Source organism: Homo sapiens, chromosome 9 (genome assembly GCF_000001405.40).
Source record: "Homo sapiens chromosome 9, GRCh38.p14 Primary Assembly".
NCBI classification, from domain to species: Eukaryota; Metazoa; Chordata; class Mammalia; order Primates; family Hominidae; genus Homo; species Homo sapiens.
Window position 1 is genome coordinate 94,077,682 of NC_000009.12, and position 12,748 is coordinate 94,090,429.

General features: G+C 39.5%; 1 protein-coding gene across 4 annotated transcripts in view, besides 1 other annotated feature; it reads left to right on the top strand.

Annotated features, from left to right (window-relative positions):
- Positions 1-12,748, top strand: part of PTPDC1 (protein tyrosine phosphatase domain containing 1) — a 79,044-nt gene that overhangs the window by 46,869 nt on the left and 19,427 nt on the right. For 2 of the 4 annotated variants that reach the window (NM_177995.3, NM_001253830.2), the window contains exons 3-5: positions 7,570-7,741; positions 10,150-10,230; positions 10,464-10,582. In NM_177995.3, the coding sequence (NP_818931.1) occupies positions 7,570-7,741; positions 10,150-10,230; positions 10,464-10,582 (372 nt within the window). Of the gene's footprint in view, positions 1-6,747; positions 7,094-7,569; positions 7,742-10,149; positions 10,231-10,463; positions 10,583-12,748 lie in introns of those variants that run through there. The other 2 variants (NM_152422.4, NM_001253829.2) reach the window with 2 other exon arrangements.
- Positions 6,706-7,000: a silencer, noted in NCBI's record as "tiled region #768; K562 Repressive non-DNase unmatched - State 6:EnhF". NCBI's record gives its function as "represses a minimal TATA promoter and a strong SV40 promoter by Sharpr-MPRA in K562 cells {active_cell/tissue: K562}" and the evidence as "EXISTENCE:reporter gene assay evidence [ECO:0000049][PMID:27701403]".

Below are 12,748 nucleotides of genomic sequence, written 5' to 3' on the forward strand. Positions count from 1 at the left end.
AAGCTTTTATTAAGGCTTCATCACATGGCATGATTGACTAAACCACTGGCCATTGTTGATCAACTTAACCTTCAGCCCTCTCCCCTCCCCAGAAGCTGGATTTGGTGCTGAAAGTCCCAACGCTGTAATCCTACCTTGGTCTTTCCAATGGCTAGCCCCCATCCTGAAGCTACAGAGGGACTGACAGCCACTAGTCAACTCATTAACATACAAAAAGATATCACCTTGGAGATTCCAAGGATTTCAGGAATTGTATGCCAAGAAACAGGGACCAAGACCAAATATGTATTTCACAGTATCCCAACAGTCAGTTCCCATTCCACTTTCACCCTAGTCCCCCTGGCAAACACTAATCTACTTTCTGTCCCTGTCAATTTGCCTCCTTGGGACATTTCATATAAATACATACTGTCTCTTCTAATTTGCCAGTGTCCTTTCTTTCACATGGATTCACATTAGTCTTGGGTAACTTGCTTTTAATCTGAAGAACCTCCTTTATATTTCTTACACGCTAAGTCTGCTAGCAACAAATTCTCTGCTTTTTGTTTACCTGGGAATTCCTTTATTTCCCCTTCATTTTTGACAGAAATCTTGCTGCATGTAAGATTCTTGATTGACAGCTTAATATTTAGCACTTTGAATATGTCGTTCCTCTACTTTCTGGTCTCCATGGTTTCTGATGAGAAGTAAACTTAATCTTTTTGAGGTTTCTTTGTACACAAGGAGTCATTTTTCTATTTGAGCATTTTTACTGTGATGTGTTTTAATGTGGATCTATTTGTATGTATCCTACTTAGAGTTTTTTGAACTTCTTGGATGTGTGGATTAATGTTTTTCATCAGATTTGGGAAGCTTTAAGCCATTATTTCTAAAAGTTTTTTCTACTCCTCTCTCAACTCTCTTTCTGTTCACTTATAGTAGGGTATATGTTGGTTCACTTAATGGTATTCCACATTTCTGTGAGGCTTTGTTCATTTTTTCATTTTTTATTCTCTGTGTTTTTCAGAGTGCATAATCTCTATCAGTCTTATCTTCAGGTTCTCTAATTCTTCCTTCTGCCACTTCAGATCCTCTGTTGAGCTGCTTGAGTGAATTTTTCATTGTTTTTGTACTTTTTAACTTCTGAATTTCCATTTGCTTCCTTTTTAAAATTCCCATCTCTTTATTGGTATTCTGTATCTGATGAAAGAAACATTGTCATCATAGCTTCTTTTACTTCTTTAAACATGGGTTCCTTTAGGACTTTGAATATATTTGTAATGGCTGCTTTGAAGGCTTTGGTATATCAGATGCCTGGCCTCTCTAACAGATAGTGTCTATTGACTACACTTTTTTCTGTGTATAGGTCATACTTTTTTCTTTCTTTCCATGTCTCATACTTTTTGTTGAAAACTGGACATTTTAGGTAATATTTTTTAGCACCTCTAGATACTCTTCCCTCCCCGGACTTGTTTTTGTTGTTATTTGCCTGTCTATTTGATCAGAGACTTGACTAGATCATCTTAGTGATGGACTAGTCTTTTTTTCTTCATAGTTTGAAGCCTCTGATGTGACTCCTAAGAGGGCATGGCCTTGGTCAAGCAAACGCAGTCACCCTGAGAAGACAGTGGTTTTTTTTTAGCAGGGCACTCTTTCCCTCTTCCACGAATGTCTCTGTTAGGCTGTCTCCCTCAGTTGTTAGCACACCAGCTGTTGGGTTCCACTAATTACCTGCTGATCATTCTGTTGTTTTTGACAAAGCCCTGGGTCATCTGTTGCCCTACAATCTGATCTAATTAAGTTTGGGTGGTGGCTGTTTTTGAGGTCAGTCTTGAGGTTTGATCATGCTCCATGAGAGGACTTAGTTGTCTCTTTCCTTGGTTCTCTCTGGCAAACTAGTGTGACTACAGTTCAGCTTATTGGTCTCATGAAGCTATGAGGTTACTCTTATTAATAACTGCTTAACCAAAACCTCCATTGTTTTTGAAAGCTTGAACTTTCCCATGCTGTGTTTCAGATAAAGATAGTTTTGTAGGGGGAGAGCTTCAGAATTCTCTGTTTTTAAGGCCTGCTTCTCCTTCTGGCTGAAGTCTACTAGCCATGTCTCTGGAGCTTGAGGCGGGGACAACAGCCCACTTCTCTGAGTGATCCCCCTACTTTGCAAGGTGAGCAGGAATGATAGCTTCTGGTCTTCTTGGCTTGCCTAAGTGTGGAATCTTTGACCTACAGATGAGGTGGAGCAGGGGCACTTGGGAGAAGCCAGCCAGGGTGAGGAGGAAATCCATATGGGAGAGCAGCCCAGCAGTGGCGAAGCCTGAGCCAGATAACACCTGTGTGGGAGAGTGACCTGGCCCAGGTTATTAGAACATTCCCAGGCATCAGAGCTTGGGTCAGGTTGGGAGGGCTCCATGTGGCAGGGTGACCCTACATGGAATATTGGAACATAGGCAGGATGAGGAGAGCATCTACCCAGGTGGGTGGCAGCAGCAGCTTGGCATAGGTGTTAAAGCCCAGATGGGATGAGAGAGGCATCCACATGGAGGAGGGAGCAGAGGTAGTGATGGGAGACTGGTTACATGTAGGGGGCTTGGTCAATTAGGTAAATATATTAAAGATTACTGTGCCCAGGCTTCTCACAGAGTTATAATTATAGGTACAGTTGTGGAAAGGGTGGAAATTAGAGGAACTCTGTGGTGTTGGCTTGGAATTGGTAGCATCAGGGTAAACTCTTGGTTTTCCATATGTATATATGCCTACATATGGGAATAAATATAGATGTAAAGTGTGATAATGTATGTGCCTGTGCATAATATCCATATTCTTTAGCACTGTCCACTGAGAGGGCCTGGCAGCAGTAACACTCTAATGGCAATGAGCATACCTAACACACAGACATTGGTTTCTAGATACCGTTCTTTACTAATAAATGCAAGGGCTTCCGAGTCTAATCATGAGGAAACTGCATGCCCAAATTGAGAGAGATTGCTACAAAATAACTGGCCTATACTCTTCAAAAGTGTCAAGGTCATCAAAGTCAAGGAAAGACTGAGGAACTTGTTCAAGTGTGAAATAGGTGAAAGAAACAGGACAACTAAATACAACATGTCGTTTTACTGTAAGGAACATTTTTGGAGTAATCAGTGAAGCTTGAATGAGGTCTGAGGAATAGAGGGCAAGTAGTAATATCTCAACCATAATTTCCTGATTTGGGGTAATTTTCAAGAATATCTTTGTGGGAAATATACACTAAATTATTTGGCGTAATGGGGCAGCATTTCTGCAAGTTACTCTAAAAAATTCAAGGGAAAATATTCTTTTTTTCTTTTTCTTTTTCTTTTTTTTTTTTTTTGAGACAGTCCCGCTCTGTCACCCAGACTAGAGTGCAGTGGTGCAATCTCAGCTCACTGCAACCTCTGCCTTCCAGGTGCAAGCAATTCTCCTGCCTCAGCCTTCCAAGTAGCTGGTACTACAGGCATGCGCCACTACACCCAGCCCATTTTTGTATTTTTAGTAGAGACTGGGTTTCACCATGTTGGCCAGGTGGGTTTCTAACTACTGACCTCAGGTGATCTGCCCTCCTCAGCCTCCCAAAGTGCTGGGATTACAGGCATGAGCCACCATGCCCAGCCAAGGAAAAATATTATTTGTAACTTTTGTAACTTTTCTGTAAGTTTGACATTGATTCAAAGTAAAAATATAAAATATTCTCAAAAATATATGGGCCAGGCATGGTGGCAGGCACCTGTCATATTGGCTACCAGAGAGGCTGAGGCAGGAAGATTGTTTGAGCCTAGGAATTCAAGGCTGCAGTGAGCTATGATCACGTCACTGCTCTCTAGCCTGTGTGACAGAGCAAGGTGCTGTCTTTAAAAAAAAATTAAAAATTAAAACTAAAGTGTTCGATTGTGTTGCATGCTGCTGCACAGTCAAATAGAAACTCTAAAAAGTCCACCTCAAAACAGATCATCGGAGGCCTTAGCAAGAGTGGTTTGATTTGAGAGTGGAGGCAGAGGCCAGAGCTGAGTAGGCTAAGGATGAGACCTGTGACACGTGGAGATGGCAGGTGTAGTCACCTTGGTTTGGAGGTTTAGCTATGAAGGGGAGAGAAGAAGGGCCCTCAGAAGAAGGGAAATTATAGTGAAAGATCTGGAAACAATTACATATACCTAGGAATGTTTGAAAAACAGAAATAGGGAAAGTCTTGGAAAAGTTCTGTCTTCGGATATTTGAAAATCTTTCAAGACAAAGAGAAGCTTTATTCTTTATTTTCAGTGGGAAGAACCAGAACCGATGTTTATAGAATGGATTTTAACTCAACACTAGAGAACATTTGAAGCCCAGCGTGTTGGCAGGCATCTGTAGTCCCAGCTACTCAAGAGGCTGAGGCAGGAGGAGCCCTCGAGCCCAAAAATTTGAGTGCAGCCTAAGCAACAAAGTGAGATTCCCATCTCTAAAGAAGGAAGGAAAGAAAACATTTGAGCTGTCTAACAGTGGAATAGTCAGTTCCCTTGTGAAAAGTGAGCCTCTTGTCACAAAAAGTAGAGAACACGAGGCTGGAAATTCAGCTGTACAGCAAATTCCTGGAAGTAACTCCTCCGTGGACTTAAGAATGCGGATAGGTGGGCCTCCCACGCCCACCAGGCACCCACTGCATTCTCAGCCTATTGTTCTATGACTTTAGGAAGCAATGATCCCTTTCTGAAATCTTGAGTATAGAAGGAAATTACTAGTTCTTGGTGTTCTAGATCTCACTTTTCAGTGTTTTACCTGCCCACTTATAGAAATTAAGGAAGAAAAGACTCAGTACTCACTGGTACATTTTAGTGGGTTTCTTTGTTGTGTTTATTGTAACTGATTTCATATTTGTCATGATCAGTATCTCATTTTGTTCCTTAAATATTATTCTAAATTTGGTTCTCGTGTCCAGAGGTGGGTACATTTCTTTTCATCTGCCTCATCAATGCAAGGTATATTCACAGCACCTCATTGTTGGGAACACTGAGCAAGCATGCAGAAAGGGCTGCTTTCACCTTGCAGAATCCTGTTTGCGTTAGGCTTGACTTCCTTAGACATTGACACAGGGTCACTGACTGTACGGTAACTGGGGTAAGCTCAGTCATTTTGTGTTTATTTGAGGTCAACCCAGGGCTCAAGATTTCACCACAGAGATTATTCTTGAGGTGATCTATAAACCATCCCTTCCTTAGCTTGGTCCAAATAAGTCCTACCCCTACCCCTTATCTAATGAAATTAGTTGTCATTTTTAGTGTAGTTGAAAGCAGTTACTTTTGACTTTTCTCTGTAGATGTCCTCAGATGCTGGTTCTCCAGGCCATGGACTTGTTTCTGCAGAGCTCACCACTCTTGTTTCTCAAGAGCTAAGTTAACATTCTGGAGTGCCACATACTCAGAAGCACAGACTTGCCCAGAAATCTTCTTAGACTCCCTCTTACACAGATAGCAAATACACAGCTCCTTAGTTTGAGCATTTAGGGCCTCCTGCCAGTAAGTTCATGTTCTTGTCATGCAGACCTCTGTGCAACTGCTGTTTCTGTGTTGCCCTTAGGGTCCTGAGGGCCTTGCCTAGAATAATCCTCATATAATTCCTCCGACAGGAAAGCTGTGCTTTCTTCCATGGCTGCATTCTAAATAACAAAGGCATGATACTATACATAGAGTAGGAATTTGGACACCAAATCGGGATTCTGTGTCCCTGTCTTATTCGACAAAAGTGCACATTACTGGGGAGATGGGGGCGGCATTTTAAAAGGAGCTTGGTATAGCATTAGTAATCGTTAAAAAAAAAAAAATAGAAAATAGCCTTATCTGTAGCAGTACAGTAGTTTGTTTCTGTGCACACACATCTGAAATACCACTTGTGCAGAGAGCTAGCGAGCAAGCGAGGGCGCAGCCTGACATTAACAAGGGAGGAGGCGGACAATGAGTACATTAGTGGTTGTTGCACTTTCTGTTTTCTTTATATCCTTTATCTTCAAGTTGCAACCTCCCCCTCATCTAGTTCCTTTAAAAATGTGATATTTAGTGATCTTTCTTTGTATGCCTCTGCCAAGACATTATTGAAGCTTCTTTTTTCCCTCACTGCAACAAAAGGCAGAGAATGGTGTTTTGAGTTTTTGAGAGGCATGGCTACTATAACTGTCCAACAGAGGCATAACTAAGAATTGGGTTTTTATATTCTGAAAATGAACACATGAAGTTAAATGTCTTCTGATAATATATCACCTCTAAAAATGTCTTTATTTGTTCTATCCAAGTATTTCTTTAATAGTTTTACCAAGAAAAAATAGAAGTGGTTTTGGTTATGAAAAATTGGATGATATTTTAATAATCTTGTAAGGTGTCCAGCATATCCCACTTTATTACAATTAACTTTTTTCTGCACTATTCAAACGAGGAGTAGAAAGGTAATTTTTTTCAAAATATCCAGAGACAGGTTGTGAACAGAATAACAGAATTTAAGCCTTTTAACATGTATGTAAAAGGCAGTTTTTGCATCAGGAAGACAGTTTTCTAAATTCACTACAGTATTTTGGGGAGTAATTCTTTGGTTAGATATTTTAAGTGCATTTGAGAAACAAAATTTAGTAATCAATATATTTAAAATTTATATTATTCTTCCCTATATTTGAACAATTTGTCCAAAATGCAATCTGTTCATATTGGATTTTGCCTGTTCAGATCTAAGTGGGAATCAGTAGTTTCTTTGTTTGTCGCCATGGAAACCAGTCAGCCAATCTGAATGGCTCTTAGATCATACAGAACGATGCAATGCTCCCTGCTCTCAGTGAAAGTTCCTCACTGAGTGAGTGGGGCTGACTCTTCCTGCCTCCGGCTCTTGCCTCCCAGTGCCATGCAGGTGCAGGATGCAACCAGGCGGCCCTCAGCCGTGCGCTTCCTCAGCTCCTTTCTCCAGGGCCGCCGGCACTCCACCTCAGACCCAGTACTGCGGCTGCAGCAGGCCCGGCGGGGCTCTGGCTTGGGCTCCGGCTCTGCCACGAAGCTGCTGTCCTCGTCCTCTCTCCAGGTGATGGTGGCTGTTTCCTCAGTCAGCCATGCAGAGGGAAACCCAACTTTCCCCGAAAGAAAAAGTAAAGGTCTCTTTCTTCTTATAGATTGCCATACCTATGTATATAAGTTTGAGGAATGGGAATCAGCTGTGTTGTGTTTATACCTTTTTAAATATTGGCAGTTTATTCTATATTATACTTTTTGCTGTCTGTTATGCTATTTTAGTGAATATATAAGAGGATATAAAATGATCAAATGTTTTGTGTTTTTTTATTAAAAATATAGGTTTGAACAAAACTCATTCTCTTGTAAAACATCTGCTTCTACAGTTTCTTCCTCCTAATTGCCAGTATGTGTGGAGATTATTATATGTGAAAGCTTTTTTACATTAAGAGATATATGTCACTTTGACAGGGAAACAGTTTTGTTTTCTTGACAAGATGAAGGTGATTTTGCACTGGCTTGTCATCTACCATCCTGAGATAAAATGGAAGCTATTTCCCATGTTACAATTTCATTTGGAGAGTGGAATTTTGAATTTTCCTTTCCTTATATGTTCTAGGAAATTTAGAACGTCCAACACCAAAGTACACAAAAGTAGGGGAGCGTTTACGGCATGTCATTCCTGGACACATGGCATGTTCCATGGCGTGTGGCGGTAGAGCTTGCAAGTATGAGAACCCAGCCCGCTGGAGTGAGCAGGAGCAAGCCATTAAGGGGGTTTACTCATCCTGGTGAGTGATCCTGTTGGTCTTTCATAGCTCTGTTGGATACAGGAAGGACACTCTGTGTGAGCCAGGAGCCCTGAAGTGTGGGAGGAGCAGTGTGGGACTTTGAAGTCAGGACCTCACTTTGCCAGTCAGTTCTGGCTTTGCCTTAGCTGTGTGATCTTGGCCTATTGACCCTCAGTTTCTTTATCTGTAAGGTGGAAATAATAAAACCAAAACCATAGGGTTTTTTAATTAAGTGAAATGATATATATAAAGTGTATTGAAGAAATGGATAATTAGATAGCTCTTAAATTTCAGAAATGTTTAGAAATAATAAAACTTCAGCTATAAATTTGAGAAAATTATGATGTACATGTGTAATTTTTCAGTTTCATGTAGGTAAGCTTTAGCTTTTATGTTATTCCTATATTCTATATGAAAGGTCACATTTTCATACAAATACCCTTCAGTCTACCCTAATAAAAGTGGTACAAGTTGTCAGCTCAGTAGAAAACATAAGATATTTGCTTTTTTTATGGTGTATAAGTGAAATTAATATTGTTCTTTAATCATACTGCTTTTTATTAAACAGTAAACTAGTCAAATACACCTTTTTGATGTAGTAACATCTGAAAAATTCTGATAAATCACATTTGAAGCATACTTAGAGGAATTCACTGTTTAATTCTAGTAGTGAATTATTTTATACATCAAGAACCCATTTTTCAATTAGATATTTGTCAACTGGCTTATCCAGCTTACAACCTGTACTTTTTCATATTGGATTTGCTCAGTACATCTGTAGTGATATAGTCTGGGGTCCACTGTCATTATTGTTCACCACAGGTCATATTCTGGTCCATCACTATCATACTAATAGTATGAAGAAGGAAACATTCATAGTCAGACAAGAAAATTTCTAATAATGTAGCTTAGGTCATTTGCATATTTTTGCTTTATTGCTGACTAAATCATGTGAGTCTTTTTCACCTCTGCTGCTTTCACGTTACATCCCCCTTCATCTTACACTAATTATCACTGGGGGTCCAAACTTTTGGGTCCCATGTTAAACCATATGCCTTCTTTCAGAGGGAAAGGTGTCATTTTGGATCCTGCCCTGACAGTCTCTGTTATTCCCCTGAGATTCATGTGACCCACGACTTCCAACAGACTTACCTTATATATCTCATCAGGCCACTGATGAGAAATTTGAACAGAACAGAGTGAAGCCAGAGCCCAGAGGCCTGACAAGAGTAATAGTCATTTATTGGGCGTCTGCCCACTCATTCATTCAGTAAATATCCATTTGGCTGTAGGCCAGTCAGTGTGCTAGATGCTTTCATACTATTATCTTTTATCTTCATAAAACTCTTGTGAGCTGTTAATGCCATTTTATCAATGAAAGAATTGAGTTCCAGAGAGACCAAGTAATTTGCTACCAAGCTAGAAAGTAGAAGAGCCAGCATTTGAAACCAAGCCCAACTGACTCTGGAGCCCATATTTGTCACCAAATTACAGTAACTCAGTATTTATTCATAACTGCATGTCAGGATTTGTGCCAAAGACTTTACATCCACATCATATTGAATTCTCACACCAACCCTGTGAGACAGGCATTATTATCCCCATTTAACACCTTGTAACTAAGATTCAGATAGTTGAATAACAAAATATCTCCCAGTTGGCCCTCCTCATGTAAGTCACTACCCATTGAGTAACAATCCAGACTGTTACCTTCACCACCAGCTGAGTTTTCTCCATCATGTCCACTAAAATCTCTTGAGAGTTCTTGAAAATACTTTGCTGGAATCCACAAATAATTTATGTCTTGGAATTTTTTCCAGGGATTTAAGAAGCTAGAGTTTCTTAGAGCTCTAATCATCCAAAATTGAAGCCAGATTTGTATAAGAATATTCTTACACGGGTGCACCAAAATCTCAAAATTCACCACTAAATAACTCATCTATGTAACCTGAAATAATCTGTACCCCAAAAACTATTGAAATTTTAAAAATTAACCTAAAGAGAAAAAAAGCAAAGTATCTAACAGTGCCTTTACTAGACTACCTTTTGTACAAGAAAAAGCAGATAAATAAGAATAAATATTCATATTTGCTTATATTTGCAAAAATAAACACTAAGATGGTAAACATGAAGTTAATACAAATGATTACATATGGGGAACAAACTGAATGGAGTGGATGAAAACGGTTGAGAGCAAACATTTTAGTGCATACCTTTTTGTATTGTTTTGATTTTATTGAACCATGAAACTGTATTATCTGTTCAAATAAAATTTATACACAAAAAAGAATATTCTAACAGAGTTGTTGAAATCATAGAAAAAATCATCTCTCAGGACTGGAACATCTCTTTGGACTGGAACTTCCTAGGTTTCAGCACATCTCACCAGTCCCTCCACCTATTTGCAGGGTCACTGATAATATACTGGCCATGGCCCGCCCATCCTCTGAGCTCCTGGAGAAGTACCACATCATTGATCAGTTCCTCAGGTAAATGCTGTATTGTTCACACACGAGTGAGCAAACTCATGTGTTTTTTTCTTTCATTGCCTTTGTTTCAAGTGAAAGAGTGCTTTCATTTTAACAATAGGCAGTGAAGAGTGTATTTCAAATGAGAAATTAAGATTTTTGAGAGTAATTAATAATGTTGATTAATACCAAAAATGGTTAATTTTTTTTAAATGCTAGCTCCCAATATGACTGACTGCCCTTTTTCCTTTAAGCCATGGCATAAAAACAATAATCAACCTCCAGCGCCCTGGTGAGCATGCTAGCTGTGGGAACCCTCTGGAACAAGAAAGTGGCTTCACATACCTTCCTGAGGCTTTCATGGAGGCTGGCAGTAAGTTCCTCCCACCCTCCTCTCATGAATTATCAAGGGCAGCACTCAGAGGCTTTTCTCTGCTGGGTTCTTAGATTAAAAAGATGATGGAAATAAATACCTTCTGCATCATAGTAAGGTTTAGAAAAAATGAGCTACCATTCTCTTTGGTATTGCTGTTGAAAGTAAAGGATTTCTTTGTTCCTGTAAGAGGGATGTTGGGAGGAGACCCTGTAGTAATAATGATTAACATTTAGTTAATGCTTACAGTGTGCCAGTCACTATTATCTCATTTAACCCTTAAAGCAGTTGTGTAACAAAATTATTATTTCTGTTTTACATATGAAGCCACACGGGGCTTAGAGAATTACCTGTTTGCCTAAGATCACACAGCTTAGAAATGGTAGTCAGGTTTGGAACCTGGACATGCTCCAGGTTTACTGCTGTCCAGCCCTGCTCCCAAAATGATGCCCAGGAATTCTACTTCTAACAATTTCAAAGCCGCCTCAATCACAGGAGCTTTGGGATGAAATACACTCAACATGTGTCCTTCAAACCAGGCTGGAAAGGATAAACAATCTTGGAACTTGTTTTTAAGAAGCTTATTTACACTAGATAGAAAATCCATATATACTGTCTTAAGCTATTTATCAGTCATTTAGACACATTTCCCTGCTTAAACAAGAATGTATGCTTTCTCTCCAAAGCTGAGTAACTATAGCATGAATCATTGACTTTATTAATTTGTAATTATACTTCGCCATAATTCTTTCTGGCTGAGTTTCTGCAGGAAATGTCTTTTTTTTTTCATATTTACATTTTTATTTTATTTTTTTTTAATTTTTTTTTATTATACTTTAAGTTTTAGGGTACATGTGCACATTGTGCAGGTTAGTTACATATGTATACATGTGCCATGCTGGTGCACTGCACCCACTAACTCGTCATCTAGCATTAGGTATATCTCCCAATGCTATCCCTCCCCCCTCCCCCCACCCCACAACAGTCCCCAGAGTGTGATATTCCCCTTCCTGTGTCCATGTAATCTCATTGTTCAATTCCCACCTATGAGTGAGAATATGCGGTGTTTGCTTTTTGTTCTTGCGATAGTTTACTGAGAATGATGATTTCCAATTTCATCCATGTCCCTACAAAGGACATGAACTCATCATTTTTTATGGCTGCATAGTATTCCATGGTGTATATGTGCCACATTTTCTTAATCCAGTCTATCATTGTTGGACATTTGGGTTGGTTCCAAGTCTTTGCTATTGTGAATAGTGCCGCAATAAACATACGTGTGCATGTGTCTTTATAGCAGCATGATTTATAGTCCTTTGGGTATATACCCAGTAATGGGATGGCTGGGTCAAATGGTATTTCCAGTTCTAGATCCCTGAGGAATTGCCACACTGACTTCCACAATGGTTGAACTAGTTTACAGTCCCACCAACAGTGTAAAAGTGTTCCTATTTCTCCACATCCTCTCCAGCACCTGTTGTTTCCTGACTTTTTAATGATTGCCATTCTAACTGGTGTGAGATGGTATCTCATTGTGGTTTTGATTTGCATTTCTCTGATGGCCAGTGATGATGAGCATTTTTTCATGTGTTTTTTGGCTGCATAAATGTCTTCTTTTGAGAAGTGTCTGTTCATGTCCTTTGCCCACTTTTTGATGGGGTTGTTTGTTTTTTTCTTGTAAATTTGTTTGAGTTCATTGTAGATTCTGGATATTAGCCCTTTGTCAGATGAGTAGGTTGCAAAAATTTTCTCCCATTTTGTAGGTTGCCTGTTCATTCTGATGGTAGTTTCTTTTGCTGTGCAGAAGCTCTTTAGTTTAATTAGATCCCATTTGTCAATTTTGTCTTTTGTTGCCATTGCTTTTGGTGTTTTAGACATGAAGTCCTTGCCCATGCCTATGTCCTGAATGGTAATGCCTAGGTTTTCTTCTAGGGTTTTTATGGTTTTAGGTCTAACGTTTAAGTCTTTAATCCATCTTGAATTGATTTTTGTATAAGGTGTAAGGAAGGGATCCAGTTTCAGCTTTCTACGTATGGCTAGCCAGTTTTCCCACCACCATTTATTAAATAGGGAATCCTTTCCCCATTGCTTGTTTTTGTCAGGTTTGTCAAAGATCAGATAGCTGTAGATATGTGGCGTTATTTCTGAGGGCTCTGGTCTGTTCCA